This window comes from Homo sapiens, chromosome 15 (genome assembly GCF_000001405.40).
Source record: "Homo sapiens chromosome 15, GRCh38.p14 Primary Assembly".
In the NCBI taxonomy this organism is placed as follows: domain Eukaryota; kingdom Metazoa; phylum Chordata; class Mammalia; order Primates; family Hominidae; genus Homo; species Homo sapiens.
The window spans coordinates 64258933-64279918 of record NC_000015.10 but is presented as its reverse complement, the minus strand read 5'-3'; the positions used below and the strand labels follow the sequence as shown (position 1 = coordinate 64279918).

The 20986-nt window shown below is 38.9% G+C and overlaps 1 protein-coding gene across 4 annotated transcripts in view; it reads left to right on the top strand.

The window, feature by feature from the left end:
• CSNK1G1 (casein kinase 1 gamma 1) overlaps nucleotides 1-20986 on the top strand; it is a 190649-nt gene that overhangs the window by 76255 nt on the left and 93408 nt on the right. For all 4 annotated transcript variants that reach the window (NM_001329606.2, NM_001329607.2, NM_022048.5 and 1 more), the window contains exon 3: nucleotides 20678-20718. In NM_001329606.2, coding sequence (NP_001316535.1) covers nucleotides 20678-20718 — 41 coding nt within the window. The remainder of the gene's footprint in view (nucleotides 1-20677; nucleotides 20719-20986) is intronic.

Below are 20986 nucleotides of genomic sequence, written 5' to 3'. Positions count from 1 at the left end.
CATACCACAACCTCCGCCTCCTGGGTTCAAGGGATTCTCCTGCCTCAGCCTCCCGAGTAGCTGGGACTACAGGTGCGTGCCACCATGCCTGGCTAATTTTTGTATTTTTAGTAGAGATGGGATTTCACTATGTTGGCCAGGCTTGTCTTGAACTCCTGACCTTGTGATCCGCCCACCTCGGCCTCCCAAAGTCCTGGGATTACAGGCGTGAGCCACTGTGCCTGGCCTGTTTGTTTCTGTGTATGAATACTCTATGATCCAGAAATTCCACTCTGGGTATTCACTTAAGAAAATGCATATATATGTGCACCAAGAAACATATTTAATAATATTCATAGCAGCATTATTCCTAATGGCCCAAACTGAAAACAGCCCAAATGTCCATCAACAGTAGGACAGATAAATAAATTGTGATATATTCATACAATGGAATACCATCTAGTAATGAAAAAGTATGAACTACTAATGCATGCAAGAAAGTGCATGAATCTCACGGACGTAATCAAGGAAAAGAATGCAGATACATGAGAATGCTTATTAGATAATTCCATCCATATGATGTCAAAAATAAGCAAATGTGATTTCCTACAATAGCAGTCAAAACAGATTACCTTTGGTTGTGATAAGTAGGAGTTAGTCATTGAGAGGAGGTACCAGAAAACCTACTGGTATGCTGAAAATGTTCTCTTTCCAAATGGTAGTTACATGGGTGTATGTATGGATATATAAAAATTCACCGAGCTCTACAGTTAACGTTTGTGTGCTTTACTGCATGTAAGTTATACCTCAGTAAAAAAGAAAAAGTAGGTGTAAACAAAATTACAAAAAAAGGTGGATCATTTGTGCAAGAGGATTGAAATTTGTTTTTTGATGTTAACAGTGTATGTCAGTGATCTTCATACCACTTAGGTGGAGCTGCTTCATAATCACTGGATCTAAACAAAGCTGAAAATTATGTGCCAGACCCTTTAGGAAATTGTCCAAATAATTAACAGTAAAGCAAGACTTAAAAAAAAGTGAAACACATAGGTTAACGTTGCTCCTTTTTACATAAATGCTTTCATAAAGATTAAAAATTTTTAGATGTGGGGTGTAGTTGCATCAGTGGGATCTATGAAGTTCTCATTATACTCTGTCTTCTCCTATATGTACATTAGTTGAGTACCTAATTTTACATAAAAATCTACTTTTATGGCTGGGCACGGTGGCTCATGCCTGTAATCCCAGCACTTGGGAGGCCAAGGCGGGCAGATCACGAGGTCAGGAGTTCGACACCAGCTTGGCCAACATGGTGAAACCCTGTCTCTACTAAAAATACAAAAATTAGCCAGGTGTGGTGGCCTGTGCCTGTAGTCCTGACTACTTGGAAGGCTAAGGCAGGCGAATCGCTTGAACCCGGGAGGCGGAGCTTGCAGTGAGCTGAAATTGTGCCACTGCACTCCAGCCTGGGTGACAGAATGAGACTCTGTGTCCAAAAAAAAAAAAATATATATATATATACACACACACACACACACACACACACACACACACACACACACGCACATACATGCATATATACTTTTACCCCTGGACTGGGTGTGGTGACTCACGCCTACAATCCCGGCACTTTGGGAGGCCGAGGCGGGTGGATTACCTGAGGTCAGTAGTTTGAGACAAGCCTGGCCAACATGGCAAAACCCTGTCTCTACTAAAAATACAAAAATTAGCCAAGAGTGGTGGTGGGCACGTGTAATCCCAGCTACTCGGGAGGCCGAGGTGGGAGAATTGCTTGAAACCGGCGGGGCAGAGGTTGCAGTGAGCTGTGATTGCACCACTGCACTCCAGCCTGGGCAACAGAGTGAGACTCCATCTCAAAAAATATATATATTTTAATAGATAATAAAATAATATTAATATATTATTCAAATATATCAATATTAATATATTATTCGAATATATCAATATTAATATATTATTCAACTATATCAATATTAATATATTATTAAATATATCAATATTATTATTAAATATATCAATATCAATATATTAAATATATCAATATTATTATTAAATATATCAATATTATTATTAAATATATCAATATTATTATTAAATATATCAATATTAATATATTAAATATATCAATATTAATATATTATTAAATATATCAATATTGCTATATTATTAAATATATCAATATTAATATATTATTAAATATATCAATATTAATATATTATTAAATATATCAATATTGCTATATTATTAAATATATCAATATTGCTATATTATTAAATATATTAATATTAATATATTAAATATACCAATATTAATATATTATTAAATATATTAATATTAATATATTTATTATATTAAATTTTATTATTTTAATATTAATAACAATATGAAAACTTGTAGCAGGGGTAAAAGTGTGTGTATATGTATTATTTTATGTATGTACATATGAATGAATGAATGACAGGGTCTCACTCTGTTGCCCAGGCTGGAGTGCAGTGGTGCAATCACAGGTCACTGTAACCTTGAACTCCTGGACTCAAAGGATCCTCCCATCTCAGCCTCCCAAGTAGCTAGGGCTGAAGGGTGCACCACAATGCCTGGCTAATTATTTAATTTTTTTGTGGAGGCAGAGTCTCACTTTGTTGCCTAGGCTGATCTCAAACCCCTGGCCTCAAGTGATTCTCTCACCTTGACCTCCCAAAGTTTTTGGATTACAGGTTTGTGCCACAGCACCCAGCCTCCAACTTTATTAATAACATCTATATTTCCTCTCAAAACTTGCATCACTGTCTAGAATAGAGGTCTATATTCTTATTGGCAGGAAAATATATTTGACTATTTTGTCTAATGATCAAGTTCAAGTCACTGACGTTGCATGGTTCTAGTTCTTCCGGAATTGATTGCTTTACCTTGAACTCTGTTCATGATTGTTTTTTCACTTTCAACTATTTTCTTTTTCTTTTTTTTTTTTTTTTGAGATGGAGTCTCGCTCTGTCACCCAGGCTGGAGTGCACTGGTGCGATCTTGGCTCACTGCAAGCTCTGCCTCCCGGGTTCACACCATTCTCCTGCCTCAGCCTCTCAAGTAGCTGGGACTACAGGTGCCCGCCACTACCACCAGCTAATTTTTTTGTATTTTTTATTAGAGACAGGGTTTCACTGTGTTAGCCAGGATGGTCTCGATCTCCTGACCTCGTGATCCACCTGCCTCGGCCTCCCAAAGTGCTGGGATTACAGGCGTGAGCCACCGTGCCCAGCCTCAACTCTTTTATTTTTCAAAGGACTGTTGTACCTTTTTTTTCCTACCTGGGTGGCTGAAATATCTCATTGGTACGTCACTCTTTTTCATTTTCATGGGTTCCCATTTGACCTTTTAATTTTCCACATTCATATTCTAGAGGTCTTCAAATAATAAATGATCCGTCTGTTCTGAAAAAGTACTTCAATTCTGTTTCAGACCCATAATGAAATATTTACTGATAAAATGATGTAACATCTGAGATTTGTTTCAAAATAATAAAGTTACTGAAATTGGGTAGGTTACATGGGGGAAAATCATATGCCTTTGAAGTTATGCATAAAAATTTTAAAAATACAAAAATACTTTGGTATTTCTCTGCTGCAGAAAATCATACTTTCTAGAATGATTCACTCCAGTTTTTCTGCCCACCACTATAATATAGAACATTTTACAAATTTTCTTTGTAAAGCATAGGCCCTTGAAAGTACATAGACACTTTCTGAAAAATGGAGTATGAGTCCTGCTTTGATGCTATTTATAAATGACTTTCAACTTCTCCCTTTCTTTTGGCCCTGGCTGCCTTTTACCTCACTCCACGTAGCCTCACTTTAGACTTTCAGATGTTAGAAGCACTCTCATTTTTCTTACTAACAGATTAATCAGAATATCATGTGTAATACCTTAGGAAAGTTATATAGAAACTAGTCCAGCCACTGACCAGCTTTTCATTGCAAAATGAAATAATTGAAACTGCTTTTTAGAAGATTTTTATTGATGGCTCTTATTATTCTTTGATCATAACTCACACTAAAAAAATTGTGATTTAATATACACATAGTTAATATCTGTGTATATGAAGTTTCATGAAATAATATTTTATCCTTACTGAGTATAATGTACTCTGATACTTTTTATTTTATATATTTTTTCTTTAAAAAATTTGGTCAAGACATTCTTTAAAATCAATATTTGAATGTATTTACTTTATATCCCACTAATGGATCATGTTCTACACTTTAGAAAACATTTGAGCATTGTCTGTCTTGTTAATAATAAACATGCTGTATATACCATCCCAGTGATATTAAGCTTTAATAAGTTTTTCTTTTATTATAATGTACTTATTGTTGTTGATAGGTAAGCCCTTTAAAAAACTTGACACAAGAAAAAATTATTCTTGCCTTAACTACTAATCATTTGGGAAATGTTTCTGCATAGTATACTAATATTTTAATACTATTAAGTTAGTAAAAGTGAAAACATTATCTGCTTTTTTTCTTTAGAGTTGTATTGCTATCGTTATCTTCTTACCCCTAATCATACTGCTCACTTAAAGAGATGCTCTTTGGGCCGGGCAAGATGGCTCATGCCTCCCAGCACTTTGGGAGGCCCAGACGGGAGGCTCACCTGAGGTCAGGAGTTTGAGACCAGCCTGGCAACAAGGTGAAACCCATCTCTACTAAAATACAAAAGTTGGTTGGGTGTGGTGGCATGCACCTGTAATCCCAGTTACTCGGGAGGCAGAGGCAGGAGAATTGCTTGAACCTGGGAGGCAGAGTTTCAGTGAGCCAAGATCATGCCACTGCACTCCAGCCTGGGCAACATAGCAAGACTGTGTCTCCACAAAAAGAAGAGATGCTTTTTGGGTGGAGGTGGCAATAGGCCAACCTGTCCTCTTTGCCCTAAATAGACATGGTAATCATCTGAGTTATATAAAAGTAGTTACTTGTTTTAACTACTAATTGCCTCAAGTTCATTTGGCTGGATTTTTTACAAGTTCTAGGTAGTAATTTATACATGTACTATTTTCACTGAAGGGCAAGAAAATGTGACAGCTGGAGCTCTAACTAAACAGACTGTATGTTCCTTTATCAGTATGGCTCTGAGAACTGAGAACTCCTAGTTCTTTGAAATAATGCAGTGTCTGATGAAGCTTACGGTGAATGTTGTCTCTGTAGGTGACTTACAGAAACAGGAAGTCTTCATGCAGAGGGTTTTATGGACAGCATCACATCCAGGACTGCTGCTTTGAAAGGGCTGAGTTTAAATATAAAGCTCCAAAAACTACTGTGTAATGCAGTTCCTTTTCTATTAAGAATAAAGGAACCAATAGCCAGGAAGTGAGCTTGGGAAGCGTTGTGGATTTTGTGCAACAGATACTAAAAGCTTTCAGTGCTTGGGATTGTGCCAGCTCATCAATGGTACTTTTCTGTCCATTAAATGGCTTTCCTTCCTCATAGTTATTGGTATGCTTTTATTTTTATTTTTTTAGCTGAAGCAGTTATTTATTTTAAATGGGCAGGGTTTTAACATAATCTTTGTAATTAAATTCATCTGGAGCAAAATTTTTGAGTACTGTGTATTATTTAGGATAGTGGCTGAGTGATTGTCTAAATTTCTGAAACATGGCTGCATTTTGTGTTGACCTGTAAAATTTTAATGATGCATTTGTGCCCTTGCAAAGAAATTCATTTGAGGCAATGCTTAGCTCAGGAGACTTATCAAGTCACCTCCAGTGCCTCTTAAGAAAAAGGGTAACATGTATTTGATTCTTTTGGTGCCCTTAGAGAAATTAAGTAAACGCAAGCTAGCATTTTGTGATGTATCAGCCACTATGTTGGGTGTTACATAGGCTTGTCTCACTTATTATACTTCTGTGATTATACTCTTTTATATACATGTGAAAATAGAAGCTAAGAAGCATTTTATAATTTGTCTATCACTTTTAGGTTTAGTGAGAATTTGCAGGAATGCATCATAGTAGCGTGGAATGATATTGTTTACTCTCCTAACTAAGTCTGTTCTCCGCTAATTAAGAGCATCATTTAGACCAAGCTTGTTCAACCTGTGGCCTGTGGGCCACGTGTGGCCCAGGACAGCCTTGAATGCAGCCCAACACAAAATTGCAAACTCTCTTAAAACATTATGTGATTTTTTTTTTTTTTTTTTTTAGCTCATCAGCTTTTGTTAGTGTTCATGTATTTTATGTGTGGCCCAAGACAATTCTTCCAGTGTGGCCCAGAGAAGCCAAAAGGTTGGACACCCCTCATTTAGACCCTTCCGTTTTCCTTATCCCTCACATTACATGTAATCCAAACGTTGTTAGGTTTTCCTTCAAAATACCTTGCATGAAGATCCTATTCTAGTCCTCTTAGGAATTATTACCTCTTCTCTGCTATAATAATAGAAGTAATAAAAATTAGACTTATCTAGCACCTTGCAGTTTACAAAATATTTACACATATTCTATCATCTTCATAAAGCTCTGTGAAATAGTTATTCTTTATATGTTCTGTTATAAAAACATTTTATTCATCTTCTTTCTAATTACCTCATTCACTTCTGTTTTATACATTGGGGCCAGATTAATATTTTTTATTTTGTTTATAACTGACACATAATAATTGTACATGCTTATGGGGTAGAGTGTGATGTTTCAATACATCTGTACATTATATAATAAAATAAGGGTAGTTAGCATGTTCATAGCCTTCAATCTTTATCCTTCCTTTGTGATAATAACTTTCAAGATTCTCTTGTCTAGCTATCTTGAAATATACAGTGCAGTAAGTTCTCACTTAACTTCATCAATAGGTTCTTGGACACTGTGATTTTAAGTGAAACCATGTATAAAGAAACTAATTTTACAGTGGGGTAATTGATAAAAACAAGAGTTAAGGCCAGGCACAGTGGCTCATGCCTGTAATTTCAGCACTTTGGGAAGCCGAGGTGGGTGGATCTCTTGAGCACAGGAGTTTGAGACCAGCCTGGGCAACATGGCAAAACCCTGTCTCTACAAAAATTAGCTGGATGTGGTGGTGCATTCCAAGATTTCTTGAGCCTAGGAGACTGAGACTGCAGTGAGCTGTGATTGCACCGCTGCACTCCAGCCTGGGCGACAGAGCAAGACCCCATTCCAAAACACCACCAGACCTGCCTTACAAGAGATCTTGAAAGGAGCAATAAATATAGAAAGGAAAGACTACTACCAGCTAATACAAAAACATACTTAAATATACAAACTAGTGAAACTATAAAGTAACCTCACAAACAAGCCAGCATAATAACCAGCTAACAACACATTGTCAGGATCAAATCCATACCTATCAATACTAGCCTTGAATGTAAACAGGCTAAATACCCCCATTTAAAAGTCACAGAGTGGGGCCGGGCGTGGTGTCTCACACCTGTAATCCCAGCACTTTGGGAGGCCGAGGTGGGCGGATCACAAGGTCAGGAGATTGAGACCATCCTGGCTAACACGGTGAAACCCCGTCTCTACTAAAAAATACAAAAAAATTAGCCAGGCATAGTGGCAGACGCCTGTAATCCCAGCTACTGAGGAGGCTGAGGCAGGAGAATGGCATGAACCCAGGAGGCAGAGCTTGCAGTGAGCCGAGATTGCGCCACTGCACTCCAGCCTGGGCGACAGAGCAAGACTCCATCTCAAAAGAAAAAAAAAAAAGTCACAGAGTGGCAAGCTGGATAAAAAGCAAGACCCAATAGTATGTTGTCTTCAAGAGACCCATGTCATGTAATGATATCCGTAGGCTCAAAATAAAAGGATGGAGGAAAATCTACCAAGCAAATGGAAAATAGAAAAAGGCAGGGATTGCAGTTCTAATTTCAGACAAAACAGACTTTAAACCAACAAAAATCAAAAAAGATAGAAGGACATTACATAGTGGTAAAAGGTTCAATTCAATAAGAAGACCTAACTATCCTAAGTATATATGCACCCGACACAGGAGCACCCAGATTCGTAAAGCAAGTTTTTAGATACCTACAAAGAGATGTAGACTCCCACACAATAATAGCAGCACTCCACTGACAGTATCAAACAGATGATTGAGGCAGAAAATTAACAAAGGTATTCAGGACCTGAACTCAACATTGCACCAAATGGATCTTACAGACCTCTACAGAGCTCTGCACTTCAAAACAACAGAATATACATTCTTCTCATCACCACATGGCATATACTCTAAAATCAACCACATATTTGGACATAAAACAATTCTCAGCAAATTCAAAAGAACCAAAATCATATCAAACACATTCTTGCACCACAGTACAATTAAAATGAAGGCCAAGGCTGGGCACTGTGGCTAACACCTGTAATCCCAGCACTTTGGGAGGCCAAGGTGGGCTGATTGCTTGAGCTCGGGAGTTCAAGACCAGCCTGGGCAACATGGCGAGACCCTGTCTCTACTAAAAATACCAGAAAAAAATAGGTGTGGTGATGTGCACCTGTGGTCTCAGCTACTTGAGAGGCTGAGGTGGAGGATTGCTTGCGTCTTGGGGAGGCGGAGGTTGCAGTGAGCCAAGATGGGGCCATTGTAGTCCAGCCTCGGTGACAGAGTGAGACCCTGTCTCAAAATAAATAAATAAATTGGCCGAGTTCAGTGGCTCACACCTGTAATCCCAGCACTTTGGCAGGCTGAGACAGGCGGATCACTTGAGTTCAGGAGTTCAAGACCAGCCTGGCCAACATGGTGAAACCCTGTCTCTACTAAAAATACAAAAATTAGCTAGGTGTGGTGGTACATGCCTGTAGTCCCAGCTACTCTGCTCAGGAGACTGAGTCAGGAGAATCACTTGAACGCAGGAGGCAGAGGTTGCAGTGAGCTGAGATCGTGCTGCTACACTCCAACCTGGGAGACAGAGCGAGACTCTGTCTCAAAAATAAATAAATAAATAAAATACACACATACATAGTAAAATAAAATAGAAGTCAAGACTAAGAAAATCACTCAAAACCATGCAGTTACATGGAAATTAAACAACCTACTCCTGAATGACTTTTGGGTAAATAATGAAATAAAGACAGAAATCAAGAAGCCCTTTGAAATTAATGAGAACGAAGATACAACATACCAGAGTCTCTGGGACACAGCTCAGGTAGTGTTTTTTTTTTTTTTTGAGACGGAGTCTCACTCTGTCACCCAGGCTGGAGTGCAGTGGCACGATCTCTGCTCACTGCAAGCTCCGCCTCCTGGGTTCACGCCATGTTCCTGCCTTAGCCTCCCGAGTAGCTGGGACTACAGGCGCCTGCCACCACGCCCGGCTAATTTTTTTGTATTTTTAGTAGAGACGGGGTTTCACTGTGTTGGCCAGGATGGTCTCGATCTCCTGACCTCGTGATCCGCCCATCTCGGCCTCCCAAAGTGCTGAGATTACAGGCGTGAGCCACTGCGCCCGGCCACAGCTCAGATAGTGTTAATAGGGAAATTCATAGCAATAAATGTCCACATCAAAAAGTTAGAAAGATCTCAAATTAACAACCTAGTATCACAATGAAAATAATTAGAGAAACAAGAACAATTCAACCCCACAGCTAGCAGAGAAGACAAAAAATAACCAAAATCAGAGATGAACCAAAGGAAATTAAGACATGAAAAACCATTCAAAAGATCAACAAATCTAGAAGTTGGTTTCTTGAAAAAAAAAATTGATAAATAGGCCACTAGCTAGACTAATAAAGAATAAAAGAGAGAAGATCCAAGTAAACACAATTAGAAATTATGAAGGGGATGTTACCACTGACCCCACAGAAATACAAACAGCCATCAGAGGCCAGGTGTGGTGGCTCATGCCTATAATCCCAGCATTTAGGGAGGCCAAGGTGGGTGGATCACTTGAGGGTCAGGAGTTCAAGACCAGCCTGGCCAGTATGGCGAAACCCTGTCTCTACTAAAAATACAAAAAAAATTAGTCAGGTCTGGTGGCGTGCACCTGTAATTTCAGCTGCTGGGGAGGCTGAGGTGGGAGAATCACTTGAGCCTGGGAGGTGGAGGTTGCAGTGAGCTGAGATTGCACCCCTGCACTCCAACGTGGGTGGCAGAGTGAGACTCCATGTCAAAAATAAAAATAAAAATAGCCATCAGAGGCCGGGCATGGTGGCTCACACCTGTAATCCCAGCACTTTGGGAGGCTGAGGTGGGCGGATCACCTGAGGTCAGGAGTTCAAGACCAGTCTGGCCAACATGGCAAAACCCTGTCTCTGCTAAAAATACAAAAATTAGCTGGACGTGGTAGTATGCACCTGTAATCCCACCTACTCGGGAGGCTGAGGCAGGAGAATCGCTTGAACCCGGGAGGCAGAGGTTGCAGTGAGCTGAGATCGCACCACTGCACTCCAGCCTGGGCCACAGAGCAAGACTCCGTCTCAAAAAAAAAAAAAAAAAAATAGCCATCAGAAACTGCTACAAACACCTCTGTGCACACAAGCCAGAAAACCTAGAAGGGATACATAAATTCCTGGACACATACACCTGCCCAAGACTGAAGGAAGAAATTGATTTCCTGAACACACCAAGAATGAGCTCCAAAGTCCAATCAGTAATAAATAGGCTACCAACCAAAAACCCAGGACCAGATGGATTCACAGCCTAATTCTACTGGATATGTAAAGAAGAACTGGTGCCATTTCTACTGAAACTGTTTCAAAAAGTTGAGGAGGAGTGACCTATGGCATACTTCTGATCACAAAAACATCACCAAACTTCTAGATAAAGGCCCAAAACACTTGTAATGTTAAACATTGAAATAAATGTGGGCTATACATACATTTAAGACAGATTAATAAAAACAAGATAATTACCCTTTTTTTTTGGTGAATCAGTGAGTGATGGCAGCACAATGGTAGTGGGTAAAATCAAGGAATAAATGTTTGCAAAGCAAAAATGGTAAGGAGAATATCCTACTACTGTGCAGTGCAAAAACAAATATAGCAGGCTCCTTGAGCACTTTTGTACTGCATTGTTGATTGTCTTGCATATGTATGATTACCATAGGCTAGAATTTTAATTTTACAATAATTTGTATTCATGCATTTTTCCAACCCACTTATCCCAGTTCAGGGTCTCAGGTTGCCAGACCCTATCCCAGCAGTTTAGGGCACAAGGTGGGAGTCAACCCTGGAGGAATGTCATTCCGTGGCGGGATGCTGACACACACACCCACATTCACTTATCCTGGGACAATTTAAACACCCCAGTTAGCTCAAAAACAATTGAAATAAAAAGAATAAAAAATGAAATACTGTGTGTTCCCTAAAAAACAAACAAAACACCCCAGTTAACCTAAGGTACACATCTTTGGGATGTGGGAAGAAACTGGAGTACCCAGAAGAAACCCACACAGACATGAGGAGAACATGCAAACTCTACACAGATGGTAGTTCTGGCTGGGAATTGATTTTTTTTCTCATCAGTGTTATAACATGAAATGATGTTATTTAAGGTCCTTTTGTTAGCTATAGTCATTCTACTACTTAATAGAACACTAGAACTTATTCTTAAAATCTCACTGTAACTTTGTACCCATTGACAAACCTTTCCTTATTCCTCTTCCTTCTCCCTCCCCAGCCTCTGATAACCACCATTCTGTTCTCTCCTATGAGATCAGCTTTCCTAGATTCCACATATAAGTGAGATGATGCAGGATTTGTGTTTCTGTGCCTGGCTAATTTCACTTAACATGTTCTCCATGTTTATTCCTTTGCCACAAATGACAGCACTTCCTTTTTATAGCTGAATAGTATTCTATTGTATATATGTACATTTTCTTTTCATCTATTGATGTACACTTAGGTTGATTTCATATCTTGGCTATTGTCAATATGCTGCAGTAAACATGGGAGTGCAGATATCTTTTTGGCATACTGGTTTCCTCCCCTCCCCTCCCCAATTTTATTTAAAAAATAAAATTTATTTTACTTTATTTTTTTGTAGAGATGGGTTTTGCCATGTTGTTCAGGCTGGTCTTGAACTCCTGGGCTCAAGTGATCCTCTCACCTTGGCTTCCCAAAGTGTTGGAACTACAGGCATGAGCCACCATGTCTGGCTGACATACTGGTTTCAATTCCTTTGAATATATACCCAGTAGTGGAATTGTTGGGTCATATGGTAGTTTTGTTTTTAATTTTTTGAGAACTCTTCATATTGTTTTCCATAATGGCTGTACTAATCTACATTCCTACCAACAGAGTATAAAAATTTCCCTCTCTTCACATTCTTGCCAGCATTTGTTTTTTTGATAATTGCCATTTTAACTGGAGTGAGGTGGTTTCTCATTGTGGTTTCGACTTGATTTCCCTGATGATTTGTAATGTTGAACATTTTGTCATGTATCTGCTAGCCATTTGAATGTCTTCTTTTGAGAAATGTCCATTTTGGTTTTTTGCCCATTTTTAAATTGGATTATTTGGGGTTTTTTGTTAGTGAGTTGTTCAAGTTCCTTATATGGTCTGGATATTAACCCTTTGTCAGATGAATAATTTGCAAATATTTTTTCCCTCTAGGTTGTCTCTTCACTCTGTTGAGAAACTTTTAAATTTGATATAATCCCATTTGCCTGTTTTCACTTTTGTTGCCAGTGCTGTTTTTCTTTTTCTTTTCTTTTCTTTTTTTTTTTTTTTTTTTGAGATAAGGTCTCGCTTTGTCTCCCAGGCTGGAGTGCAGTGGCACAGTCTTGGCTCACTTCAACCTCCTCCTCCTGGGTTCAAGTGATTCTCCTGCCTCAGCCTCCCAAGTAACTGGGATTACAGGCGTGCACCACCACGCCCAGCTAAATTTTTGTATTTTTAGTAGAGGTGGGGTTTCGCCATGTTGGCCAGGCTGGTCTTGAACTCCTGTCCTCAAGTGATCCACCCACCTCGGCCTCCCAAATGCTAGGATGAGAGGCATGAGCCTGCTTTGCTTTTGAGGTCCCATCCAAAACATCTTTGCCTAGAGAATGTCATGAAGCATTTCCCTTGTGTTTTATTCTAGTAGTTTTATAGTTTTGGGTCTTACATTTAAGTCTTTAATTCATTTTGAGTTGATTTTTGCATAAGGTGAGAGATAAGGGTCTACTTTCTTCCTTCTATGTGTGAATATCCAGTTTTCCTAGTACCATTTATTGAAGAGACTGTTTTCCCCAGTGTATATTCTTGGCATCTTTGTCGAAAATCAGTTACCTGTAAATGTGGAGATTTATTTCTGAGTTCTCTATTCTGTTTCACTTGTGTGTTTTTATGCCAGTGCCATGCTGCTTTGGTTACTATAGTTTTCTAGGAGATTTTTGCATTGGGTAGAGTGATTCTTTTGGCTTTGTTCTTTTTGCCCAAGATTATTTTGGCTATTTGGAATCTTTTGTGGTTCCATATGAATTTTAGGATTTTTTTTTCTCTTTCTGTGTTGAATGTCATTGGTATTTTGATAGAGATTGCATTGAATCTTGTAGATCGCTTTGGGTGGAATGGACATTGTAACAATATTCTTCCGATTTTTTATTTTTATTTTTTTTAAGAGACAAGGTCAGGGGCTGGGTGTGGTGGCTTGTTCCTGTAATCCCAGCACTTTGGGAGGCCAAGGCGGGTGGATCACGAGGTCAGTGGATCATGAGGTCAGGAGATCTAGATCATCCTGGCCAATATGGTGAAACCCTGTCTCTACTAAAAATTCAAAAATTAGCAGGGTGTGGTCCTCATGCCTATAGTCCCAGCTACTCAGGAGGCTGAGGCAGGAGAATTGCTTGAACCCGGTAGGCAGAGTTTGCATTGAGCCGAGATCGTGTCGCTGCACTGCAGCCTGGCAACAGAGCGAGACTCTGTCTCCAAAAAAAAAAAAGAGACAAGGTCTTGTTTTGTCACCTCGGCTGGAGTGTAGTGACATGATCTCAAAGATCCTAGACTCAAACATTCTTCCCATCTCAGTCTACCTACTAGCTAGGATTATAGGCACTTACCCCTACACCTGGCTAATTAAAAATTTTTTTTTGCAGATGCAGTGTCTCATATGTTGCTTAGCTGCTCTCAAACTCCTGGCCTGAAATGATCCTCCTGCCTTGGCCTCCTGCTAAAGTGCTGGCAGTAATAGGCATAAGCCACTGTGACTGGCCAATTTTCTTCCAATGGATATATTTCATTTTTGGTGTGTGTGTTCTTCAGTTTCTTTTGTTGGTATTTTATAGTTTCCCTTGTAGAGATCATTCACCCCTTTGGTTGAATTTATTCCTAGGTTTTTTTTTTTTTTTAAAGCTATTGTAAATGGGATTGTCTTCTGTATTAGTCTGTTCTCATGCCAGTAATAAAGACATACCCAAGACTGGCTAATTTATAAAGGAAAGAGGTTTAATTGATTCATAGTTCCACATAGCTGGGAGGCCTCACAATCATGGCAGAAAGCAAAGGAGGAGCAAAGTCACATCTTACATGGCAGCAGGCAAAGAGAGCATGTGCAAGGGAACTCCCCTTTATAAAACCATCAGATCTTGTGAGACTTATTCACTATCATGAGAACAGCATGTGAAAAACCCACCCCATGATTCAGTTACCTCCCTCTGGGTCTCTCCCACTATACATGGGACTTATGGGAGCTATGATTCAAGATGAGATTTGGGTGGGGACACAGCCAAACCATATTTCCTCCCACACACTGTGTGCTCCGATTATATTCTCAATTTCTTTTTCCACTGGTTTGTTTTTGGCATTAGAAATGCTACTAATTTTTGTATGTTAATTTTGTATCCTGTAACTTTACTGAATTCATTTATTCTAATAGTTTTTTGGTGGAGTCTTTGGGATTTTCTATATATATGATTATGTGGTCTGCAAACAGGAACAGTTTGATTTCCTCCTTTCCTATTTGGATGCCCTTTCTTTTGCCTCATTGGTCTGGATAGGGCTTTGAATACTATGTTGTATAAAATTGGTGAAAGTGGGCATCCTTGTCTTGTTCTAGTCTTTTGAGGAAAAGCTTTTAATTTTTCCCCATTCAGTCTGATATTAGCTGTGAGTTTGTCATATATGGCCTTTATTATGTTGAAATGTGTTCCTTTTATGCCTAATTTATTGAGAGTTTTTATCATGAAGGGATGTTGAATTTTATCAAATGTCTTTTCTGTGTCTGTTGAGATGATCATATGGTTTTTGTCTTTCATTCTGTTCATGTGACGTGTCACGTGTATTGATATGCATATATTCAAGCATCCTTAACATCCCCGGGATACATCCCATGTGATCATGGTGAATCATCTTTTAGTGTGTTGTTGGATTTAGTTTGTTAGTATTTTGTTGACGATTTGTGCCTCTGTTTTCATCAGGGATATTGGCCTGTAGTTTTATTTTGTTTTATCCTGGCCTGGTTTTGGTATCAGTGTAATGCTGGACTCAGAATAAGTTTAGAAGTATTATTCCCCTCCTCTTTGGTTTTTTGAAATAGTTTGAAAAGAATTTATATTTTTTCTTTCAATGTTGGATAGAATTCAGCAGTGAAGCCATCAGGTCCTGGGCTTTTTCTTTGCTGGGGGAGTCTTTATCATTGCTTCCATCTTATTACTTGTTATTCTCTTCAGGTTTTCTATTTCTTCTGACTCAATCTTGGTAGGTTGTATGTATGTTTCCAGGAACTATTCCATTTCTTCAGATTTTTAAACATTTGTTCTCATATAGTTGTCAGATTAATATTGTAAAAATACAACTTTCACCATTTGCTTTTCCCCTTCGTTCACAGCAAACCGAAGAATGAAGTTAAAACTCCTATATTTGCATTTAGGATTATCTATAATCTTATTCTAAACTAGCCTTTCTTTTTTATCACCCAAGAACTTTCTCACAAGAACTTTCTACATATATCAAGTCAAGTTGTTCACTTTAGCATCTCTTACCTACTGAATGTCAGATACTATGTTTGTTTCTAGGGATAAAAAGATGAATTAAACGTTACTGTCCTCTGGAAATTTACTGCCGAGTGGAAGTAAAAAATATATGCATAAATAATTATAGGTAGAAGTTTATGAAATTGGGTGCTGGCTTAGTCTTAAGACTAGAAAGTATATTTAGAAAAGGGCTTTTTTTTTTTTTTTTTTTTTTTTTGGTAAACAAAAAGGCATAAAACCACAAGGAACCAAAAAAATGGAAGAGAAAGTGAAAACAGACTGAGAAATGTTAACAAAATTTTGGAAGCTGAAACACAGATGGTTAGGTGGTAACTGACTTAGCACTCCAGACAAGGCTGAGTGCCTGAAGGGGCAGGCCGGTTAATGCTATAAAATATACCAGATAGGCTTAGGAATTGGAGACACTAGGAACTTCACAAAGGTGGGATGCAGAAGGGGCTAAAAATGGAAAATTTAGTTGAAAGTCAACTGCACTGTGAAAAGCGGCTGCCCAGCTAAATGCAGGAAAAATAAGGAAAAGGTTGCACACTGAGCCTGGGAGCGGTGGCTCAAACCTGTAATCCCAGCACTTTGGGAGGCCAAGGCAGGCGGATCATGAAGTCAAGAGATCGAGCCCATCCTGGCCAACATGGCGAAACCCCGTCTCTACTAAAGATACAAAAACTAGTTGGTCATGTTGGCGCGCACCTGTAATCCTAGCCGCTCCAGAGGCTGAGGCAGGAGAATCGCTTGAACCATGGAGGCAAAGGTTGCAATGAGCTGAGATCATGCCACTGCGCTCCAGCATGGGCAACAGAGCGAGACTCTGTCTCAAAAAAAAGAAAAAAGAAAAAGGTTGCACACTGAATGATGAGACTCCTCAAGACTTCTTGTGGAAGAAACAAATATGTAAGTGCCCAGGATTTCTTTGAACTCTTGCTTTTTTTTTTTTTTTTTTTTGAGATGGCGTTTTGCTCTTGTTGCCCAGGCTGGAGTGCAGTCGTGTGATCTCCGCTCACTGCAACCTCTGCCTCCTGGGTTCAAGCTATTCTCCTGTCTCAGCCTCCCAATTAGGTGAGATTACAGGCATGCACCACCACACCTGGCTAATTTTGTATTTTTAGTAGAGACGGGGGTTTCTCCATGTTGGTCAGGCTGGTCTCGAATTCCTGACCTCAGGTGATCCACCCACCTTGGTCTCCCAAAGTGCTGGGATTACAGGCGTGAGCCATTGCGCCTGACTGCATCTTTTTCTTCAAAAGAAATCTATGCACAATTTCTATAATATAGTAGGTTTGTTTTTATGTAAATAAAAAGACTTTATCCAAATCTTCAAATGAAAATTAGGATCCAAGAAAAGTGTATCTTACTTGTCCTGTAGCTTAGTGCACAAAGGCCTTGGCACACTTCCAAGTACCCACAGGTACATACCTCAGAGTGGGGACCTGGCATTGGATATTATTCATAACCTGTCCTTAGCTTAGTGGATGTTTATGGCTTTTCTTCTGTTTCTTCCCACACACTATGTGCTCCGATTATATGGGTCTACCCACAGTATATCACATCCTGTGCATTTTCTATCATTTATCCATATCATTGTTCAAATTAGTATTTTTTAAAAATAGAAAATGCCTTTTATTCTCTCCTCTGTTCATCCGTCAGGACTCACTTCAAGTGCTGCTTGTGCCCAAATTCACTACCCTCCGTATCCAAGCTCTTCTACTGACTCATTTGTATTTCTGTTTTAACACTCACTATATCATGTGATTTATTTGACACACTTTTGAGCCACCACATACAAGACCTTGTGTGAGGAGCTAGAATACAGTCTATGAAGGGTGAGAACTGAGGTTGCTCATCTTAGATGTCTGGTATCTGTGTAGATGGGCATTAAATATTCACATGCTTTTCCCTACTTCTGTTCTCTTATTTTTCTAGTTAATCTTGTACTACCTCACAATGCTCATGCAAAATCACAGATCTTATCAGGTCATAAAACCTTTCATTTTAAACTTTAAGATAGCATTGATGTTCTGCAATTATACAGGAAGTAGGAACAGGGAAAAATGGTATTAATGGCTTTTTTTTTTTTTTTTTTGAGACGGAGTCTTGCTCTGTTGCCCAGGCTGGAGTGCAATGGTGCGATCTCGGCTCACTGCAACCTCTGCCTCCCAGGTCAAGCGATTCTCCTGCCTCAGCCTCCTGAGTAGCTGGGATTACAGGTGCACACTACCACGCCTGCCTAATTTTTGTATTTTTAGTAGAGACAGGGTTTCACCATGTTGGTCAGACTGGTCTCCAACTCCTGACCTCTTGAGCCACCTGCCTCGCCCTCCCCAAGTGCTGGGATTACAAGTGTGAGCTGTAATTAAGTTCTTAGGGTTAAGCCTGTGCTAAAATTAGTTGGTTTTGTTTTGTTTTTTGTTGTTGTTGTTTTTGAGACAGAGTTTTGTTCCTCTCTCCCATGCTGGAGTGCAATGGCATGATCTCAGCTCACCACAACCTCTGCCTCCCAGGTTCAAGTGATTCTGTTGCCTCAGTCTGCTGAGTAGCTGGGATTACAGGTGCCCACCACTACCCCCAACTAATTTTTGTATTTTTAGTAGAGACAGAGTTTCACCATGTTGGCCAGGCTGTTCTCGAACTCCTGACCTCAGGTGATCCACCCACCTCAGCCTCCCAAAGTGCTGGGATTACAGGCATGAGCCACTGCACCTGGCCCTAAAACTAGTTTTAAGTCACAGTAACAATGCTCATTTCATTTCAGGAAGAGCTGTCCTGAAAAATCTTTGCGCAGAGTCACATCTGGTGTGCAAGAAGTCCTGGGCCAAATTAAAGTTTTAATCGGCCTGGGAATTGGCTGTTTGTTACTGCCTCATCTGTTCCTCTCTTACTTATTACTATCCTTTTTATAATTTCATGAAATATATTTTAAAATGGCTTTGGTGGGAACATTAATAAGAAACATAAAGTAACCTTTAGAAGGTTAATGCAAACACTATATATATGAGAGAAATGCCTATTTTTGACTTGTGCTCCCCTAAAAAAGAAGTTATTCATCTTATGGTTTCTGAGGTGTTTGACCTAAGAAACCAACCTGTTAGTCTTCTTTTTATCTTACTTGCAGACAAAAATTATTCCTAAATTAGTGTACTCTTTGACACGTAAAGGTACTCGCAATCTGATGGCAGTATGAAAAGTTTAATGATGTAGTTATATTGCAGAGGGCCTTCTGTTGTCTAGAGGTTTGTAAATGAGAATTTGTATTGTAAGCAGCTTTTTTTGTTTGTTTGTTTATTTATGAGATGGAGTCTCACTCTGTTGCCCAGGCTGGAGTACAGTGGTGTAATCTTGGCTTACTGTAGCCTACACCTCCTGGGTTCAAGCGATTTTCCCACCTCAGCCTCCCAAGTAGCTGAGATTACAAGTATTCACCACCACCCCCGGCTAATTTTTGTATTTTTAGTAGAGACAGGGTTTCACCATGTTGGCCAGGCTGGTCTTGAACTCCTGACCTCAAGTGATCCACCTGCCTCAGCCTCCCAAAGTGTTGGGATTACACCACACCCAGCTTGTTTTTTTATTTATAAAAACAATGCATTATATAAAAATCAGAAAATACTAAAATAGTAAAACTATTTTATATTCCTTTTATATTCTTTTTCACGCACATATATTCCGCTATGTATTACAGAAATATAACATTTACTGGTATATTTTAAAAATAGTTATGCTGTACGTACAGTACCAATAACTTTTAATCAGTCGAGATTTTGAGTGTTTTATATGTGCTGAACATGGTCTTAAGCACCATAGGGTATTGAGAAAACTTAAAATCCCTATCCTCAAGATATTTACACTCTAGCTGGATAAGAAGGCAAACGTGTAAGAAGAGATGCGAAGTTCAGTGCAGTGGCTGAACTACATGATATGTACTAAGCACTCAGGAGGAATTAAAGTTAAGGCTTCCAAGGATTAGTGAGGATGGGGAGGTGAGAGGAGCTGAGTATCCAGCATATATTACAGGTTCAGTAAGTGAATGTTGTTGCTCTGGCCCTCATCATCATTCCAAGTTCTTAGTCTAAACGTCTGGGAATATTGATTACATTTGTAGAAATAGGAAAGTTTAAAGGAAAAACCGTTATTGCAGGAAGAACTTTGAGATGTGTAAGTGTTGTCTAGCTGAAGATCTGTTTCCTGTAAATAGTTAAAGATATAAGTCTGTTGTTCTGGTAAACAGTCAAAACAGCTTTGAGAATCATCTCCTTACAAGCAGTAGATGAATTCTCCAAAAGTAGGTTTGGGCAATAATTGGTTTTATTCACACTGTCCTTTATGCCATCCAAAGTTGACACGAAATACCATGACAAAATATATAGAATTCTATTTGCCAGTTAGTTCGAAGAATGAAGGTTTGTGTTTATTGTGCCAAGAGCTAAAATCTCTTTGAAATTCTGGCATTTCTTCTTGAATTGCCTTGTGGCTTAATAGTTGGGAAATATTAATATGCATGCATGTGTGTGTGTGTGTGTGTGTGTGTGTGTGTGTGTGTGTGTAAGAGAGATTTGTTTTCTCTTTTAGGAAAATTCTCAGGTATAGCTTAAATTTCTAAATTTTCAAGCTGTTCTAGCCTTGCTAGATCTCATTATCTCTGTAGCTTTTCGCTTATAAATCAAGTTTCATTTATGTGAACAGCATTGGGAATATAACCTTTCTCATGACCCTGTAAGCTAATATTTTGCTTTGCTTTTCCCAGAATAAATGTCACTAAAACATATACATTCTGCTTTCCTCTTAGGTAAAAATCTCTACACCAATGAATATGTAGCAATCAAACTGGTGAGTAGAATCTGTTTGTGGTAATTAATGTTTTGGTGCTCCCATTGCTTATATCTTTTTATAGGAAATAGTTTTAAGCATTCATTCGCAAAACTGCTAATGGTTTGGGGTTTTTTTTGTGTATGATCCCACATTTTTCTTCATTTATAGTGTTAACAGTGATGAATCACTGTATACTATATAACACTATATAGTTAAATGATACTAACTTTAGTGTTAGCAATGATGACTCAAAAATTAGTTGATTAAAAAAAGCTGGAAGAACTAG